Genomic DNA, 16,392 nt, shown 5'->3' with positions numbered 1-16,392 from the left:
AAAGAAGAATGCTGTTTTTGGCCAGTCACAGTGGCTCACACCTGTAATCCCAGCACTTTGGGAGGCTGAGGCGGGTGGATCACATGAGGCCAAGAGTTCAAGACCAGCCTGGCCAACATAGTGAAACCTCATCTCTACTAAAAATACAAAAATTAGCCAGGCATGGTGGCACACGCCTGTAATACCAGCTACTCGGGAGGTTGAGGCACAAGAATCACTTAAGCCTGGGAGGTGGAGGTGGCAGTGAGCTGAGATCACACCACTGCACTCCAGCCCGAGAGACAGAGTGAGACTCTGTCTCAGGAAAAAAAAAAAAAAAAAAAAAAAAATGCTGTTTTCCCAGCTTGGGCAACATGGTAAAACCCCATCTCTACCAAAAATACAAAAAATTAGCTAGGCATGGTGGTGCATGCCTGTAGTTCCAGCTACTTGGGGGGCTGAGGTGGGAGGATCATTTGAGCCCAGGAGGTCGAGGCTGCAGTAAGCCATGAATGCACCACTGCCCTTCAACCTGGATGACAAAGTGAGACCTTGTCTCAAAAAAAAGAAAAAACTGTTGTTACATCAATATTGATTCAGATAGCTGTATTTAAAATTCACTAAGCCATTGAAGCCTTTCAAACAACTTTTCCAAATTCATTGAAGAGGCAGATTCTGACACATTCATTGAAGATGCTGACTATTGGATCCAAATGACTCCTTCACTGAACTAGCAGCCATCCAGGTGTCTACTCTGCACCAGGAACCACATCAGGACACAAGCACAAGGATAAAACTCACTTCCCACCTGGAACTTTCATTCTAGGGGAATGACATGTCTAACCTGATAAGATCCACACATCCACATGATAAGGTAAAACTCACTTCCTGCCTGGGAACTTTCATTCGAGGGGAATGACATGTCCAACGTGTTAAGATCCACATTGGGGTACAAGATGCTTTCTCTAAGAGGAATCTTCATTCAACACAACGCCACCAGGCACCAAGCACCATGGATGGACGGCAAAAGGGGAGTGAGAGCAGCTGCCCTCCTGGTGCTCACGGTGGCGGGTGGGGGGGATGTGGGGAAGGGGCAGCTGTGCACCAGGGAGCTCCGCTGGGAGGCAGGGGAGGGAGGGATGGAGTTGGGGGACGGGGAGGGGGAAGGGGGAGGGAAGGGGGCGGGGGAGGGAGGGGGGAGGGGGGAGAGGGAAGGGAGGGAAAGCGGGATGCAGAGGAAGCGATGCCTGTCCAGGCAGTGTGCTTCTCAGAAGGAGCCATGGGCCCAGGCACATGGGAGGGAGAGTTGGGGCTGGGATTGAGGAGAGGGGAAGGAAGCCACAGGGTGAGCAGGGACCAGAGAGCCAGATTTTATAAGTTATATAAGAAACTCAGATTTTGGCCGGGTGCAGTGGCTCACACCTGTAATCCCAGCACTTGGGGAGGCCGAGGCGGGCGGATCACAAGGTCAGGAGATAGAGACCATCCTGGCTAAGACGGTGAAACCCCGTCTCTACTAAAAAATACAAAAAATGAGCCGGGCGTCGTGGCGGAGGCCTGTAGCCCCAGCTATTCGGGAGGCTGAGGCAGGAGAACGGAGTTAACCCGGGAGGCGGAGCTTGTAGTGAGCCGAGATCGCGCCACTGCACTCCAGAAAAAAAAAGAAAAACAAACAAAAAAAAAAACCCTCGGATTTTAGTTAGAAGCAGTGGCTCACCCTGTAATCCCAGCATTTTGGGAAGCCAAAGTAGCAGGATCCCTTGAGGTCTGGAGTTCAAAACCAGCCTGGGCAACATAGTGAGATTCTGTCTCTTAAACAACAACAAAAAAAAAACAAAAAAAAAGCAGCTTTGATTTTAACATGTGGTCACTAGGAAGCCAGTGAAGAGATTTGATTGGATTTGCCTTTTAGAAAGTGCTCCCTGACTGCAGGGAGGGTGTAACTGAAACGCGGGTTAGTCACTCACTTGCAGACTCCGATTAACAAGAGCGAGGTGTGGTATGAAGACAGTGATTTATCCCAAAGCTAGCTTAGGGGAAGAAATACAGGTGTCCTATCTTAAGTGTCCCGCTTCACCTTTGGAGCAGAAAGACGGCACGTTGAAAAGGCAGGGGAGGAAGTGAGCAGGGCCGGGCGTGGTCTGCAGGCTAGATCTAGTGCTTTATCTACTGGGCGGCTGAGCTAGAGACTGCCGGTGCCTTCATGGGCAGGACTAGGCCGAAAACTCCCCAGGTAGGACAGAGTCCCATATCTCTCACGTCTCTTGGTGGGAGGGAGTTCCGAGGCAACCTCCTGGAGGGTGGGAGTTCCGTAGCAGGCATGCATGCTTTGGTTTGTAAATCGACTATTAGCTCTTGAGGAGAGTCTTGGAGCACAGAGTTAGAGGAACTTGCCCTCTATAAAAACAAAAAAAAAAAAAAAGAAAAAGCTATACTTGCATTTTAAAGGGCAAAGTAGGAAGTGGGGAACCAGGGGAATGAGAAAAGGAGAGAGAGAGAGAAAAAAAAAATAAACGATTTCTTAGAAAAATGGGGGTACGTGGTTACAAGTGAATGGAGACAGGAATACTGCAGAGGGGACTGCTGGCTCCTGGCAGGGCAGAGTGAGAAGTCCTGGGATGGAGCTTGGGGAGGGAGGAGAGCTGTTCCAGGGACAGCTCTGGACTCTGTGGGGGCCCCAGTGGAGGGCACATGAGGTCACAGGCAGAGCCAGAGGGATCACCGGAAGTTGGGAGTTCGAGACTAGCCTGGCCAACATGGTGAAACACCGTCTCTACTAAAAATATAAAAAAGTTAGCCGGGCATGGTGACACACACCTGTAGTCCCAACTACTCAGGAGGTTGAGGCAGAAGAATCACTTGAACCTGGGAGGTGGAGGTTGTAGTGAGCTGAGATCATGACACTGCACTCCAGCATGGGCAACAGAGTGAGATTTCATCTCAAAGAAAAACAACAAGAAAAGGGGGATTTGCGTGTTATAAAGTTCCTGCCCAGGTTCCCAATCAGGTCTGTTTATGCAAATGAAAGACTGAAACTTGCTTAGTTTTGATTGGTTTATGCCGCTGAGTCCTCATTAGTCGATACAGCTGAGCCCTGGTTGGTGGAGGCAGGTGAGCTCCAAAAGTCCCAACATTAAGAAGGTGCTGGTTTTCAGGAATCTCAGAGTACCTGTGTGACTTCTAGTTAGCAAATGGCTAACTATTTTAGCCATTTGGCTCTATTTTAAATTTAGGCTCAGTTAGCCACTAGGGATCTATCTTGAAGAATTCCCTCTTTCAGGTTCATATTTCTTCACAGAAATAAAACAGTGTGACCACAGTGAGAAAGAGATGAGCCTGTCAAACCCAGATCAGGGAGATAAGATGGTATTTGACCAGCACATGCTGGCATACCAAAGAAATCCCTGGATGATAGTTCTTAAAGATTTCTTTTCACTACTGTTGTTTATTTAAGGTATATAACAAGCCAGAATCCACAGAAAAGTCTTCCATCTGATTTTTTTTTTTTTTTTTGAGACAGAGTCTCACTCTGTCGCCCAGGCTGGAGTGCAGTGGCGCGATCTTGGCTCACTGTAACCTCCGCCTCCTGGGTTCAAGCGATTCTCCTGCCTCAGCCTCCCGAGTAGCTGGGATTACAGGCACCTGCCACCACTCCCGCTAATTTTTGTATTTTTAGTAGAGACGGGGTTTCGCCATGTTGGCCAGGCTGGTCTCGAACTCCTGACCTCAGGTGATCCACTGCCTAGGCCTCCCAAAGTGCTGGGATGACAGGGGTGAGCCACTGTGCCTGGCCTGATATACTTAATTAAACAATTTTGAGGCCATTTAGTGTCAGGGTTAACTTCACGGGCTTTGGACCCAGTAATTTTGAGGTTGGATTGCAGCCACCACCTTTTCGTAGCAGAGGGTCCTTAGGCAGTTTACATAATCCTCTAAACCCTGGTTTCTTCATCTGTAAAATTACGTGGGGCTGTTTCAAAGAATAAATGAATAAGGTATTTAGCCCAGTGCCTCACACAAATCAAGCACCCAGTAAATGCTCTTCTTGGATTCTCATTTAATAAACATGAGTAACGTATTTAGCCATGCTCAGTACAATAACACTCACTTCTATTAAGTAATTTAGAATTTCTGATGCAAGAAATGCTTATAATTCAGTGCAATTATGATCACACATCCTGCAATTGTGCTGTTTCCAAATATAGACCCTGGTTCTAAGAGGTCCCAAGAAGGCAATCGAAGCAAACTGTGTAATGTGGGGGACACCCGCTGTGCACCTTTGCGGTCTGATAGCCGTCTTGGGTCCCAATTCCTCCTTATTCACTACAAAAGTACTGGGAAGTTGAAATGAGCCTGGGCTTCCCTTTGATGTAAGGCATTCTGTAGAGGCAGTCACGGTGGCTCACACCGAGATGGGAGGATCGCTTGAGCCCAGGCATTCACGACTAGCCTGGGCAAGTTAATGAGGGTTAATGAGGCCTATGTCACCACAGAATATAATTTAAAAAAATTAGCCTGGCGTAGTGGCTCACGCCTGTAGTCCCAGCTACTTGGGAGGCTGAGGCAGGAGGATCACTTGAGCCCAGGAGGTTGAGGCTGCCAACAGGTTGAGTGAACCATGATTGTGCCACTGCACTCCAGCCTGGGAGACAGAGCAAGTCCCTGTCTGAAAAAAATCCCAAAAACAAACAAACAAAAAATATTCTGTTGGGGGCCAGTGGAAAATTTCTTCTTTGCTCTCTAAAGAGCTCCTGAAAATCAACTGACAAAAGCCAAATTAATAGGAGAAAAGGCATACAAATTTATTTGATCATAGTTTTATGTTACATGGGAGCCTTCAGAATGAAGACCCAAAGATACAGACGTCAATTTTTATGCTTAGGTTCAACAGAGTATGGACAGCCATGTAGAGATAGGATTGGACAAAAAGGCTCTGATCTGATGCTAGTGGACTGAGTGGGGAGACCCTGGGGGTTCTGTGTAGGGCCTTCTTGGCCTCTCTGTGCAGCCTTCATTCCTTCTGGGTGTGAGGCAGGACCCTCTCTGGAATGGGAGCCTGGTGACCTACAGCCAAACAAGGTAGGTCAGAGAATTTCTTTATGGCCGGTTTTTACAAAGAAAGGCAGGGTGGGCGGGCAGGGGGAGTTAGAGTAATCTTCTCAGGTTTTAAGGCTGGCTTTGGGAAAAAGGGGTTCTGGTTTCTGTGACCCACCTTGGGGAAGGGGGATTCATGTTTCATGGTAGCCTTTGCGGGGAGAATGAGGGGCCAGAGACAGGAGGGCAGGAGAAGTTTAGAGAAAAACTTGCTTCTGAGGCCTTCATTTTGAACTCCAGCAATGTCATATATTAAGCTTTACAAATGAATCCTCCTTAAACAACACGCTGTTACTTTTAAAAGGCAAGTTCCTGGATGGCTTGTGTAAGGTTAACACATACATATGCTTTGCAGATGAAAATGACTGTACTGTGTGTGCTTCTGTGGCACAAGAGTGCTGTTTAAGGCTGGGCGCGGTGGCTCACGCCTGTAATCTTGGGAGGTCAAGGCGGGCAGATCACTTGAGGTCAGGAGTTTGAGACCAGCCTGGCCAACATGTTGAAACCTCGTCTCTACCAAAAAATACAAAAATTAGCTGGGCGTGGTGGTGGGCGCCTGTAGTCCCAGCTACTTGGGAGGCTGAGACAGAAGAATTGCTTGAACCTGGGAGGCAGAGGTTGCAGTGAGCCGAGATTGTGCCATTGCACTCCAGCCTGGGTGACAGAGTGAGACTCCGTCTCAAAAAAAAATATAAAATAGTGCTGTTTAAGAACTTTTTAAAAATAAAATTCCTCTTTTGACCTAAATTTTTTTTTCTTTTTTTTTTTTTTTTGAGACAGAGTCTTGCTCTGTCATCCAGGCTGGAGTAGTGTAGTGGTGCGATCTCAGCTCACTGCGACCTCCACCTCCTGGGTTCAAGCAATTCTCCTCTCTCAGCCTCCTGAGTAGCTGGATTACAGGGGTGCACTACCATGCCTGGCTAATTTTTGTATTTTTAGCAGAGATGGGGTTTCACCATGTTAACCAGGCTGGTCTCGAACTTCCGAGCTCAGGTGATCCGCCCACCTCGGCCTGCCAAAGTGCTGGGATTACAGGCGTAAGCCCAGTACTAAAAAATATTTTTTAATTAACTTTCAAAAAGCTACGCTGATACGCTTTGGCTGTGTCCCCACCCAAATCTCATCTTGAACTGTAGCTCCCATAATCCCCGTGTGTCCTGGGAGGGACCTGGTGGGAGGTAATTGAATTATGGAGGCAGGTCTTTCCGCAATGTAAGATAAGCCTTTGAGGCCAGGCATGGTGGCTCACGGCTGTAATCCCAGCACTTTCGGAGGCCGAGATGGGTAGATCACAAGGTCAGCCTGGCCAATATGGTAAAACCCAGTCTCTACTAAAAATACAAAAATTAGCTGGGTGTGGTGGCACGCACCTGTAGTCCCAGCTACTCGGGAGGCTGAGGCAGAAGAATGGTTTGAACCTGGGAGGTGGAGGTTGCAGTGAGCCAAGATCATGCCACTGCACTCCAGCCTGGGCAACAGAGCAAAACTCCGTCTCAAAAAAAAAAAAAAAATTGTGCCTTTGCTCCTCCTTTGCCTTCTGTCATGATTGTGAGGCCTCCCCAGTCATGTGGAACTGTGAGTCCATTAAACCTCTTTTTCCTTATAAATTACAGTCTCAATTATGTCTTTATTAGCTGCATGAGAACAGAGTAATATATATGCCAATTTACATACCAATCAATGACGCAGAGCCACAAAATTTCTAAATCAGAGGGGAAATAGAAGTCAAGGCCCAGGGGGAGAAGTGGCCTCTCAAGCTTGTGTAGCTGGTGTCTGATCTGACCAGTACTGGGTTCTACTGGCTTCTAGGGGTGGTCTTAGTTTACTAGTCATGATCCCTTTTTTTTTTTTTTTTTTTTGAGACAGAGTCTCACTCTGTCGCCCAGGCCGGAGCGATGCAATCTCAGCTCACTGCAACCTCCACCTCCCAGGTTCAGGCAATTCTCCTGCCTCAGCCTCCCAAGTAGCTGGGATTTCAGGTGTAAACCACCACACCTGGCTAACTTTTTTTTTTTTTTTTTTTTAGACGGAGTCTCACTCTGTCACCCAGGCTGAGTGCAGTGGTGTGATCTTGGCTCACTGCAATCTCTGACTCCAGGTTCAAGTGATTCTACTGCCCCAGGCTCCGGAGTAGCTGGGATTACAGGTGCATACCACCATGCCTGACTAATTTTTCTATTTTTAGTAGAGATGGGGATTCGTCATGTTGGCCAGGCTGGTCTCGAACTCCTGACCTCAGGTGATCCACTGCCTCAGCCTTTCAAAATGCTGGGATTACAGCATGAGCACCATTCCTGGCTTAATTTTTGTATTTTTAGTAGAGACAGAGTTTCACCATGTTGGTCAGGCTGGTCTTGAACTCCTGACCTCAGGTGATCTGCTTGCTTGCCTCGGCCTCCCAGAGTGCTGGGATTACAGGTGCTAGCCACCGTGCCCAGCCTACTAGCCATAATCTTAAAAGGTAAACAACTACCTGTGAAGTTGAGGCTTCGAAAACTTAGTATTCCGGAAGGAATGATAATTGTGTATTTCTTTTCCTCCTACTCTGAGTTTGGAGTTGTTGAAATAGGGGCCTAAGGGAGTCTAAAAAACAAAAAATCTCTGACATAATGCTCAGAAGCTCACTGTCAGTTAGTTATTTACATTTTGTTGTGGTCGCTAATTTTTTTTTTTTTTTTAGAGACATGGTCTGGCTCTGTTGCTTAGGCTGGAGTGCAGTGGTGTGATCATAGCTCACTGCAGCCTTGAACTCCTGGGTTCCTACTTCAGCCTCCTGAGTAGCTACGACTTCTAATTTTTAAATTTTTTTAAATTTAAAAAAATGTTTAAATTTTTTTGTAAAGATGAAGTCTTGCTATGATGCCCTGCTGCTCTCAAACTCCTTGTGTTCAGAAATCCTCCCGCCTCAGCCTCCCAAAGTGCTGGGATTGCAGGCCTGAGTCATTGTACCTGGCATAACCTGATTTCTTGACACCTAAGGACAGTCAGACTGCTTCCACTCACACTCTTTCACTTTTTAAATCTACTAGTTTATAAGATCAACCACTCACAATTTTTTGTTTTTGTTTTGAGACAGTCTCTCGTCACCCAGGCTGGAGTGCAGTGACACGATCTCAGCTCATTGCAGTCTCCACCTCCCAGGTTCAAGCAATTCTCTCGCCTCAGCCTCTGAAGTAGCGGGGATTACAAGCGCGCACCACCACACCTGGCTAATTTTTTTGTATTTTTGGTAGAGATGGGGTCTTACTATGTTGCCCAGGCTCCCAACCTCAAACTCCCAACCTCAGGTGATCCTCCCCCCTTGGTCTCCCAAAGTGCTGGGATTACAGGCGTGAGCCACTGCGTGCAGCCCATACTCTTTCAATAATTATTTTAGCTTCAGTGGCAAAGGCTAATAATGATCGTATGTGTCTCTCTGATTGCAATGATGGGATGTTTATAGATACCAGGCACATACTCTCCTTGATCACAGCTTCACTAGAGACTCTTTGGCTAAGTTAACTGGTGTTCAATATTTTGAATTCGCATCCTGGACCTTCCTCCTACTGCCCGTGTTCGTGGTGTTGCTGTTGGGTTGGTACCGGCATCCATATTGGTGTTCTCACTGTTGGTGTTGGGTTAGTACTGGTGTTGATATTGGCATTCATGGTGCTGATATCTCTCTATAGTTTTCTGTCCAGCCTGTACTCAAGACAGGAAGTTTGAAGAGTTTCTGTGTGCAAGTATGAATTTCAAGGGGGTAGTAGGGAGTAAAGTCAAGAAAAAAAATCTGGAATGATCTTAGAAGTTTCCCCTCCCTCCCTCCCTCTTTTCTTTCTTTCTTTCTTTCTTTCTTTCTTTCTTTCTTTCTTTCTTTCTTTCTTTCTTTCTCTTTTTCTTTCTTTCTTTCTTCCTTTCTTTCTTTTCTTTCTTTCTTTCTTGCTGTGCTATAAAGTGAGATAAACAGTTAAGACGTTCACCAGTTCCTGTGGCAGAGGCTCTGGCTGTATGGACGAAGGAAAGGTGTGTGCCTTGATTCAAATGCAAGTGAAACCAGCATCTTTGCAGGAACATGGAAAGGAATGTTTAGAAAAATTGATTCCCATTTCAATATTTAGTATAATTTACTCCACTTATCATGAAATGCTTCTTCACAAATTTTATGAAAACAGGAGCTGCCCCTATTAAGAACCCCATGCACCTCATGCAATTCTATGGGTGTTGAAAGAAGTACTTGCTGGCCAAGTGAAAGCCTCAAGACTGAAAGGCAACATTATATTACAGCAGCAGTTGGTTCCTCAAAACAAGATGCTCACCTGGAAAGAATTCCGTGTGTTCCCGACCCCCACCCACCCACTGGCTGTGAAGGAGCCCTTCAGGCCCCCGTGTGCCCAGCAAGACAAGCCCCCCAGACACCCCTCACCCGGCAAGACACTGCCCCACTTCATCACTACGAAATGTCCAAGAAGAGAGCTAAATGTAAAACCAATCACCCACCTTTCCCTAGGAAACCGTCAGCCCAACCTCAACAAACCCTACATTCCTGCTGACCTTGAAACCACCAGAAAATAAGAAACAATTCACCAAGGAAGAAATACAACTTGTCCTTAAATACTGAAGAAAGATGTTCATTTCATCCAGGGAAGAGCTGATGTTGCAGTATTAAGCCTGGAGGCCATCTAGAAGCAGAATTCCCCTCTTCCTTGGAACACTGCAGTCTTTTTCTCTTGAGGCCTTCAACATATTGGAAGAGGCCTACCTGCACTGTGGAGGGCCATCTGCTTTATTCAAAGTTTACTGATTTATTAGGCCGGTGCAAAAGTAATTGCAGTTTTTGCCACAGTTTTAATGGCAAAAACCGCAATTACTTTTGCACCAACCTAATACATGTTAATTACGGCCTGGCACGGCGTCACGCCTATAATCCCAGCACTTTGGGAGGCCGAGGCAGGGGCATCACCTGAGGTCGGGAGTTCAAGACCAGCCTGACCAACATGGAGAAACCCCGTGTCTACTAAAAATACAAAATTAGACGGGCGTGGTGACATATGCCTGTAATCCCAGCTACTCGCAGGAGGCTGAGGCAGGAGAATTGCTTGAACCTGGGAGGTGGAGGGTACAGTGAGCCAAGATCGCGCCATTACACTCCAGCCTGGGCAACAAGAGCGAACTCTGTCTCAAAAAAAAAAAAAAGAAAAAAGAAATGTTAATCACACATAAAAAAAAGATACCCTCACAGCAACATCTGGATTGATGTTTGACCAAAAACTGTGTACTATAGCCTAGCCAAGGTGACAGGTGAAATTAACCATCGCAGAGGTATTTAGCTGTGTTGGCAATGTTTATTTTCTAAGCTGGGCAGTGGATATGCATGTATTCACTAAATTATCCTTTAAGTCCCCTTTCTATGTGGGCTTTTTTTTTTTTTTTTTTTTTTGAGACAGAGTCTCACTCTGTCACCCAAGCTGGAGTCCAGTGGCACGATCTAGGCTTACTCTAACCTCTGCCTCCCGGGTTCAAGCGATTCTCCTGCCTCAGTCTTCCAATTAGCTGGGTTTACAGGCGCCACCACCACGCCCGGCTAATTTTTATATTTTTAGTAGAGACAGGGTTTCACCATGTTGGCCAGGCTGGTCTTGAACTCATGACCTCAGGTGATCTGCCTGCCTCATCCTCCCAAAGTGCTGGGATTATAGGCGTGAGCCACTGCTCCCAGCCCCTTTTCCATGTCTTAATAACACATAAATATTGCATAACACGTAACTATTTAAGTAATAAACAGCAATAATCAGAATATATTCTAAAATCAAAGTAAAAACAAATTGACTACACGTCTTTACTTTTTTTGTTGTTTTTTTTTTTACGAGATGGAGTCTTGCTCTGTCACCCAAGTTGGAGTGCAGTGGCACAATCATAGCTTATTGCAGCCTCAACCTCCCAGGCTCAAGAGATTCTCCCACCTCAGCCTCCCAAATAGCTGAGACTACAGGCATGCGCCACCATGCCCAGCTTATTATTTTTTTTTTTTTTTATTTTTTGTAGAGACCTGGTCCCATTGTGTTGCCCAGGCTGGACTCAAACTCTTGGGCTCAAGCTATCCTTCCGCCTTGGGCCTCCCAAAGTGCCAATAATGTGCTCGGCCATCTTTACTTTTCATTAGACACATTCCTTAAAAGCCAGGTATAAGATAAAAATTTATATTAGAACTCCCCCAAAATTAGGTTATAATTAAATCAATGAAAAAATATTGTAAGATAAATTTATTTTTAAAAAATTATTCTAAGATCTAAATTTCTAAAATCACAAAACCCTAAAATTCTAACTTTAGCAGTTATGGGCAACAAACTTCTTTCGCCTAACCCTTGTGTGGAAGGTACATCAGACGGGTAATAAAACACATGAAGTTCGTTTTTGAAATCCAAATTTGAAGTACTGGTTAAGTAAAAACAAAGTATCAGTTTATTTTCATGGGAAAGATGAAAGCTCTCACATTCTGAAGGGGCTGTGGCTCTTCATTTCTTCCCTCCCTCCCTTCTCTTGCTATTGCTAAGCCTGACACTTAAATGTAGCTATGTGACACTCCTGTGCAAGCTTCTACTCCTGCAACCCCCAATCTTTTGGATTTCCTTAGGAATTTAAAAATTAGACAATAGGCCGGACGTGGTGCTCATGCCTGTAATCCCAGCACTTTGAGAGGCCGACGTGGGAGGATCGCTTGAGTCCAGGAGTTCGAGACCAGCCTGGCCGACATGGTGAAACCCTGTTTCTACCAAAAATACAAAAATTAGCCAGGGATGGTGGCGGGAACTTGTAATCCCAGCTACTACTCCGGAGGTTGGGGCAAGAAAATGGCTTGAACCCGGGAAAGGGAGGTTGCAGTGAGCTGAGATTGCGCCATTGCACTGCAGCCTAGGCGACAGAGCGAGATTGTCTCATAAATAAATAAATTAATTAATTAATTAATAATTAAAAAAAGGAAGGAGGGGAAGGAGGGGAAGCAGGAGAAGGAGGGGAAGCAGGAGAAGGAGGGGAAGGAGGGGAAGCAGGAGAAGGAGGGGAAGGAGGGGAAGCAGGAGAAGGAGGGGAAGCAGGAGAAGGAGGGGAAGGAGGGGAAGCAGGAGAAGGAGGGGAAGGAGGGGAAGCAGGAGAAGGAGGGGAAGCAGGAGAAGGAGGGGAAGGAGGGGAAGCAGGAGAAGGAGGGGAAGCAGGAGAAGGAGGGGAAGGAGGGGAAGCAGGAGAAGGAGGGGAAGGAGGGGAAGCAGGAGAAGGAGGGGAAGGAGGGGAAGCAGGAGAAGGAGGGGAAGGAGGGGAGGAGGGGAAGGAGGGGAAGAGGGAAGGAGGGAGGGAGGGAGAAAAGCCAGACAGTAAACTGGAGAACAAAAAACGCTCTACCACAAGAGGGCAGTAGACACCACCAGCGCGCAGGCCTCCCTCGGGATCAAAGGGAAGGCTCTGAGCGCGGAAGGAACCCCGCATTCTCTAATTTAGGCCTCTTCTTCAGGGATGGGAAGGAGATGGCTAAAGAGGTTCAGCGACTTACCTGAAACCACGCCGCCAGTGGCCCGCCTCTGTTAAAGGCTAACGTGCCGCCTAATTAAAGGGAAGGAAATAGGAGGCGCTGGCCGGGGAAGCTGGCTCACTTCTTCAGCACTTTGGGAGGCCGAGGTGGGAAGATCACGTGAGGTCAGGAGTTCAAGACCAGCCTGGCCAACATAGCGAGACCCCCGTCCCTATAAAAAATTAGATTAACAACAACAAAAAGAATTAGGAGGCTCCTTAGTAGGGACGCCCTTCCCCCATAACTTAATAGTCCAACAATGATGTGCAAGTCGCCAAAAGAAAGAAAATGTATGGGGAGTGGAAGTATAGAAAAAGCCGCACTGACGACCCAGGCCATCTTTAGGCCCCTGTGATGTGAATGGGAATGATTTTCAGAGTCTTTACCAAAATGACTACATTGTCAGAACTTCCCCGACTTCCCGCTTTCCCCCAGAGAATCACCCCTTCCCTGTTGAGGAGACAGGCAATCTGCCCAGAGCCCAGAGAGAAGATAATTTCTAACTTCCATACAAAAAAGCAGGGTGGTCCCATCAGGACAAAACTCTCCCTGAAGGAGTCAGGTCTGTATAACCCTCACCCGGGGGCAGAGATAGCCTGGAGCCCAAAGGCTGTGTCTGATCCCAGACCCTGTTGTAGGAGCTGGTGGGGAATTGCCACCCTCCGCAGTCCTCCCTACCCAGAGCCACAGAGCCCCAAAGCTTCCCTCCCAGCCTGGTGTTACCAGCGCTGAGTCCAGCCCTGCTCTCAGCCACCCCGGTCATTCTCTCCCACCTCATCCATCACCCTCTCCCTCGCACCCACTCCCTCTAGGGTCGCTGGATTTCCTTCTGCTCCTTGAATCCACTAAACTTTTCTCTGGCTTAGGACATTGGAGTTTGCTGTTCCTTCTTTCTCAAATGCTTTTCCCTACAGACCTCACACGTTCCGTGATCTGCTGGGCCAGTCTGTGTGGATCCTCACAGGCATCTCAAACCCAGGATGTTCCAAACTGGCCGAGGGTTTTTGTTTTGGTGGCACTGGATTGAACCATCTCCTCCACGAAGTCCATTTCCTCACACGAAGTCCGTTTCCTCATTTGTAAAATGAAGACAATAGCACCTACCTTACAGGCTTTTTGTGAGGATTAAATGAGAATATAAATATATATATACACACACACACACACACACACACATAGATGAATATATATACACATCCAAGTATATAGCAGCTGTATGTATATATTTACATACATACATATGTATATAGCATATACATGTATACATATAAAGCAAGTAGCACAGTGCCTGATCCATAGAACACCTCAATGAATGGAAACCTTTACAGTAAATGCTAACATTTTCCTCCATAAAGCAGCTCCTTCCACCTCCTCTCCAAGGCAGACATCAGATTAGTACCTTTTGACTCTTTCCTCTCTTTCACCACCCACATTTAATGAAACAACAAATCCCAGTGTGTATTTCTAGAATCCAATCCATTCTTCACATCCTACTCTCACTGTCCTAATTCATGCCTGTGTTATTTCTGGCCTGGATTACTGCAGTAGTCTTCCAATAGCCTGCTTCACATCCAAGCTCCATTACTTAATCTATGTAGAATGAAAGCTTACCATGCGATAACAGACTACTATGAACGGGTTTTTGCCAATACATTTGAAAACTCAGACAAAATGACCAATTCCCTAGAAAAAACGTAACTTACCAAAACTGACTTAAGAAGAAAGAAAATGTATGGATAGTCATAAAATGATTAGGGAAATTGAAACAGAAGTAAAAATCTTTGTCAAATTAAACTTAGACCTGGATGACTTTCCAGGTAAGTTCTCTTAAACTTTCATGGAGTGGATCATTCCTATTTTATAAAAACTCTTCCAGAGAATAGAAGAAAGTGGTTTATCTTCTCCTAGGTATTCTGTGAGGCCAGTGTAACCTTGATACTAAAACCAGGCAAGGACAGTAAAAGAAAAAGAGGCAAAAACATGAAACAATTTTTTTTTTTTGGAGATGGAATCTCACTCTGTAGCCCAGGTTGGAGTGCAGTAGCATGATCTGAGCTCATTGCAACCTCCACTTCCCTGGTTCAAGCAATTCTTCTGCCTCAGCCTCCTGAGTAGCTGGGATTACAGGCGCCAGCCACCACTGTGCCTGGCTAATTTTTGTATTTTTAGTAGAGATGGGGTTTTTGCCATGTTGGCCAGGCCAGTCTCGAACTCCTGACCTCAGGTAATCCACCTGGCTTGGCCTCCCAAAGTATTGAGATTACAGGCGTGAGCCACCACACCTGGCCAAAACAAAATATTAATGTGGTGTTTCATGCCCACACATTATTTAACCTACCTTGCTCGCTTCCTTCCTTCCTTCCTTCTTTCCTTCTTTCTTTTTTTGGAGACAAGTTCTGGCTCTGTCGCCAGGCCAAGTGTGGTGGTACAATCAAGGCTCACTGCAGCTTCCACCTCCCAGGCTCGGGTGATCCTCTCACCTCAGCCTCCTGAGTAGCTGGCAATACAGGCATGCACCACTGTGCCTGGCTAATTTTTAAATTATTTATAGAGAAGAGGTTTCACTATGTTGCCCAGGCTGGTCTTGAACTCCTGAGCTCAAGTGATCCTCTCCTGCCTTGGCCTCCCAAAGTGCTGGAATTACAGGTGTGAGCCATTGTGCCTGGCCATTCATTTGATATTTCTACATTCAGGAAGTGGAGCTAAGCTTTCCTCCACTTGAGCATGGAGTGACTTGCATCTGATGATTCCAGGTTATAAAAAGTCTGTGGCTTCCGGGTTGGGTACACTCTCGCTCTCTCTGCGATTGCTGTCTCTGGAGGAAGCCAATTGCTGTATCTGAGAGGCCTACATGTTGACAGTCACACAGTGAGCCTGGAAGCAGGTCTTTCCCTCGTGAAGCTTCCAGATGACTTCAGCTCTGACCAACACATTGACCACAACTTCCTGAGAGACCCTGAGCCAGAACTACATAGCTCAGCCACTCCTGGACTCCTGAGAAAACATGTTATAACAAATGCTTGCTGTTTCAAGACACTAAATTGTGGGATAACTTCTTACGTTAATATAGTTCACAAACAAAATCTAACAGTGTTTAAAAAAGATCATAAAGACAGGTGCAGTGGTTCGTGCCTGTAGTCCCAGCTACTCAGGAGGCTGAGGTGTGAGGATCACCTGAGCCTGGGAAGGTTGAGGCTGCAGTGAGTCATGATCACGCCACTGCACTCCAGCCTGGGCATCAGAGTGAGACCTTGTCTCAAAAAATAAAAAGGACTAGATAAGAACTTCCTTAACTGATAAGGGATATCTAAAGAAAAAAATTAGTAAACATTATTATTTTATTTTTTTAAAACACCTAACTGCATCGACTCAAAGTAAACATTATTCTTAATGAGAAAATGTTGAAAGTGTTTTACTTATGAGCTGAAACAGGATAAAGATGGTCACGATCGCTGTAGGGTCCCTCAGGCCTCTGTTTTCTTTCTGTGTCCTTACCGAAAATCAGATTGCCTTGACTGCTCTCTGATATGGTTTGAATCTGTGTCTTCAGCAAATCTCTTGTCTAATTGTAATCCCCAATGTTGGAGATGAGGCCTGGTGGGAGGTGATTGGGTCATGGGGCGGATGCTGTTCTCATTATAGTCAATGAGGTTTCACAAGATCTGGTTGTTAAAAAGTGTGTGGCACCTCCCTCCTCTCTCTCTTCCTCCTGTTTTGGCCATGTAAGATGTGCCTGTTTCCCCTTCACCTTCTGTCATGATTGTAAGTTTCCCAGGGCCTCC

At 46.3% G+C, this 16,392-nt stretch overlaps 1 protein-coding gene across 1 annotated transcript in view, besides 1 other annotated feature; it reads left to right on the top strand.

The window, feature by feature from the left end:
* Positions 2,144-16,392, top strand: part of UTS2 (urotensin 2) — a 65,638-nt gene continuing 51,389 nt past the window's right edge. The window contains exon 1 of the mRNA XM_011540537.3: positions 2,144-2,212. The gene's annotated coding sequence lies outside the window, so the exon portion shown is untranslated. The remainder of the gene's footprint in view (positions 2,213-16,392) is intronic.
* Positions 4,003-4,504: an enhancer, noted in NCBI's record as "NANOG hESC enhancer chr1:7970949-7971450 (GRCh37/hg19 assembly coordinates)". NCBI's record gives its function as "activates a minimal SCP1, AML or CMV promoter by ChIP-STARR-seq in naive H9 embryonic stem cells {active_cell/tissue: H9 hESC(naive)}" and the evidence as "EXISTENCE:reporter gene assay evidence [ECO:0000049][PMID:30033119]".

Source organism: Homo sapiens, chromosome 1 (genome assembly GCF_000001405.40).
Source record: "Homo sapiens chromosome 1, GRCh38.p14 Primary Assembly".
Taxonomy (NCBI): domain Eukaryota; kingdom Metazoa; phylum Chordata; class Mammalia; order Primates; family Hominidae; genus Homo; species Homo sapiens.
This window is presented reverse-complemented; position numbering and strand designations above follow the sequence as displayed.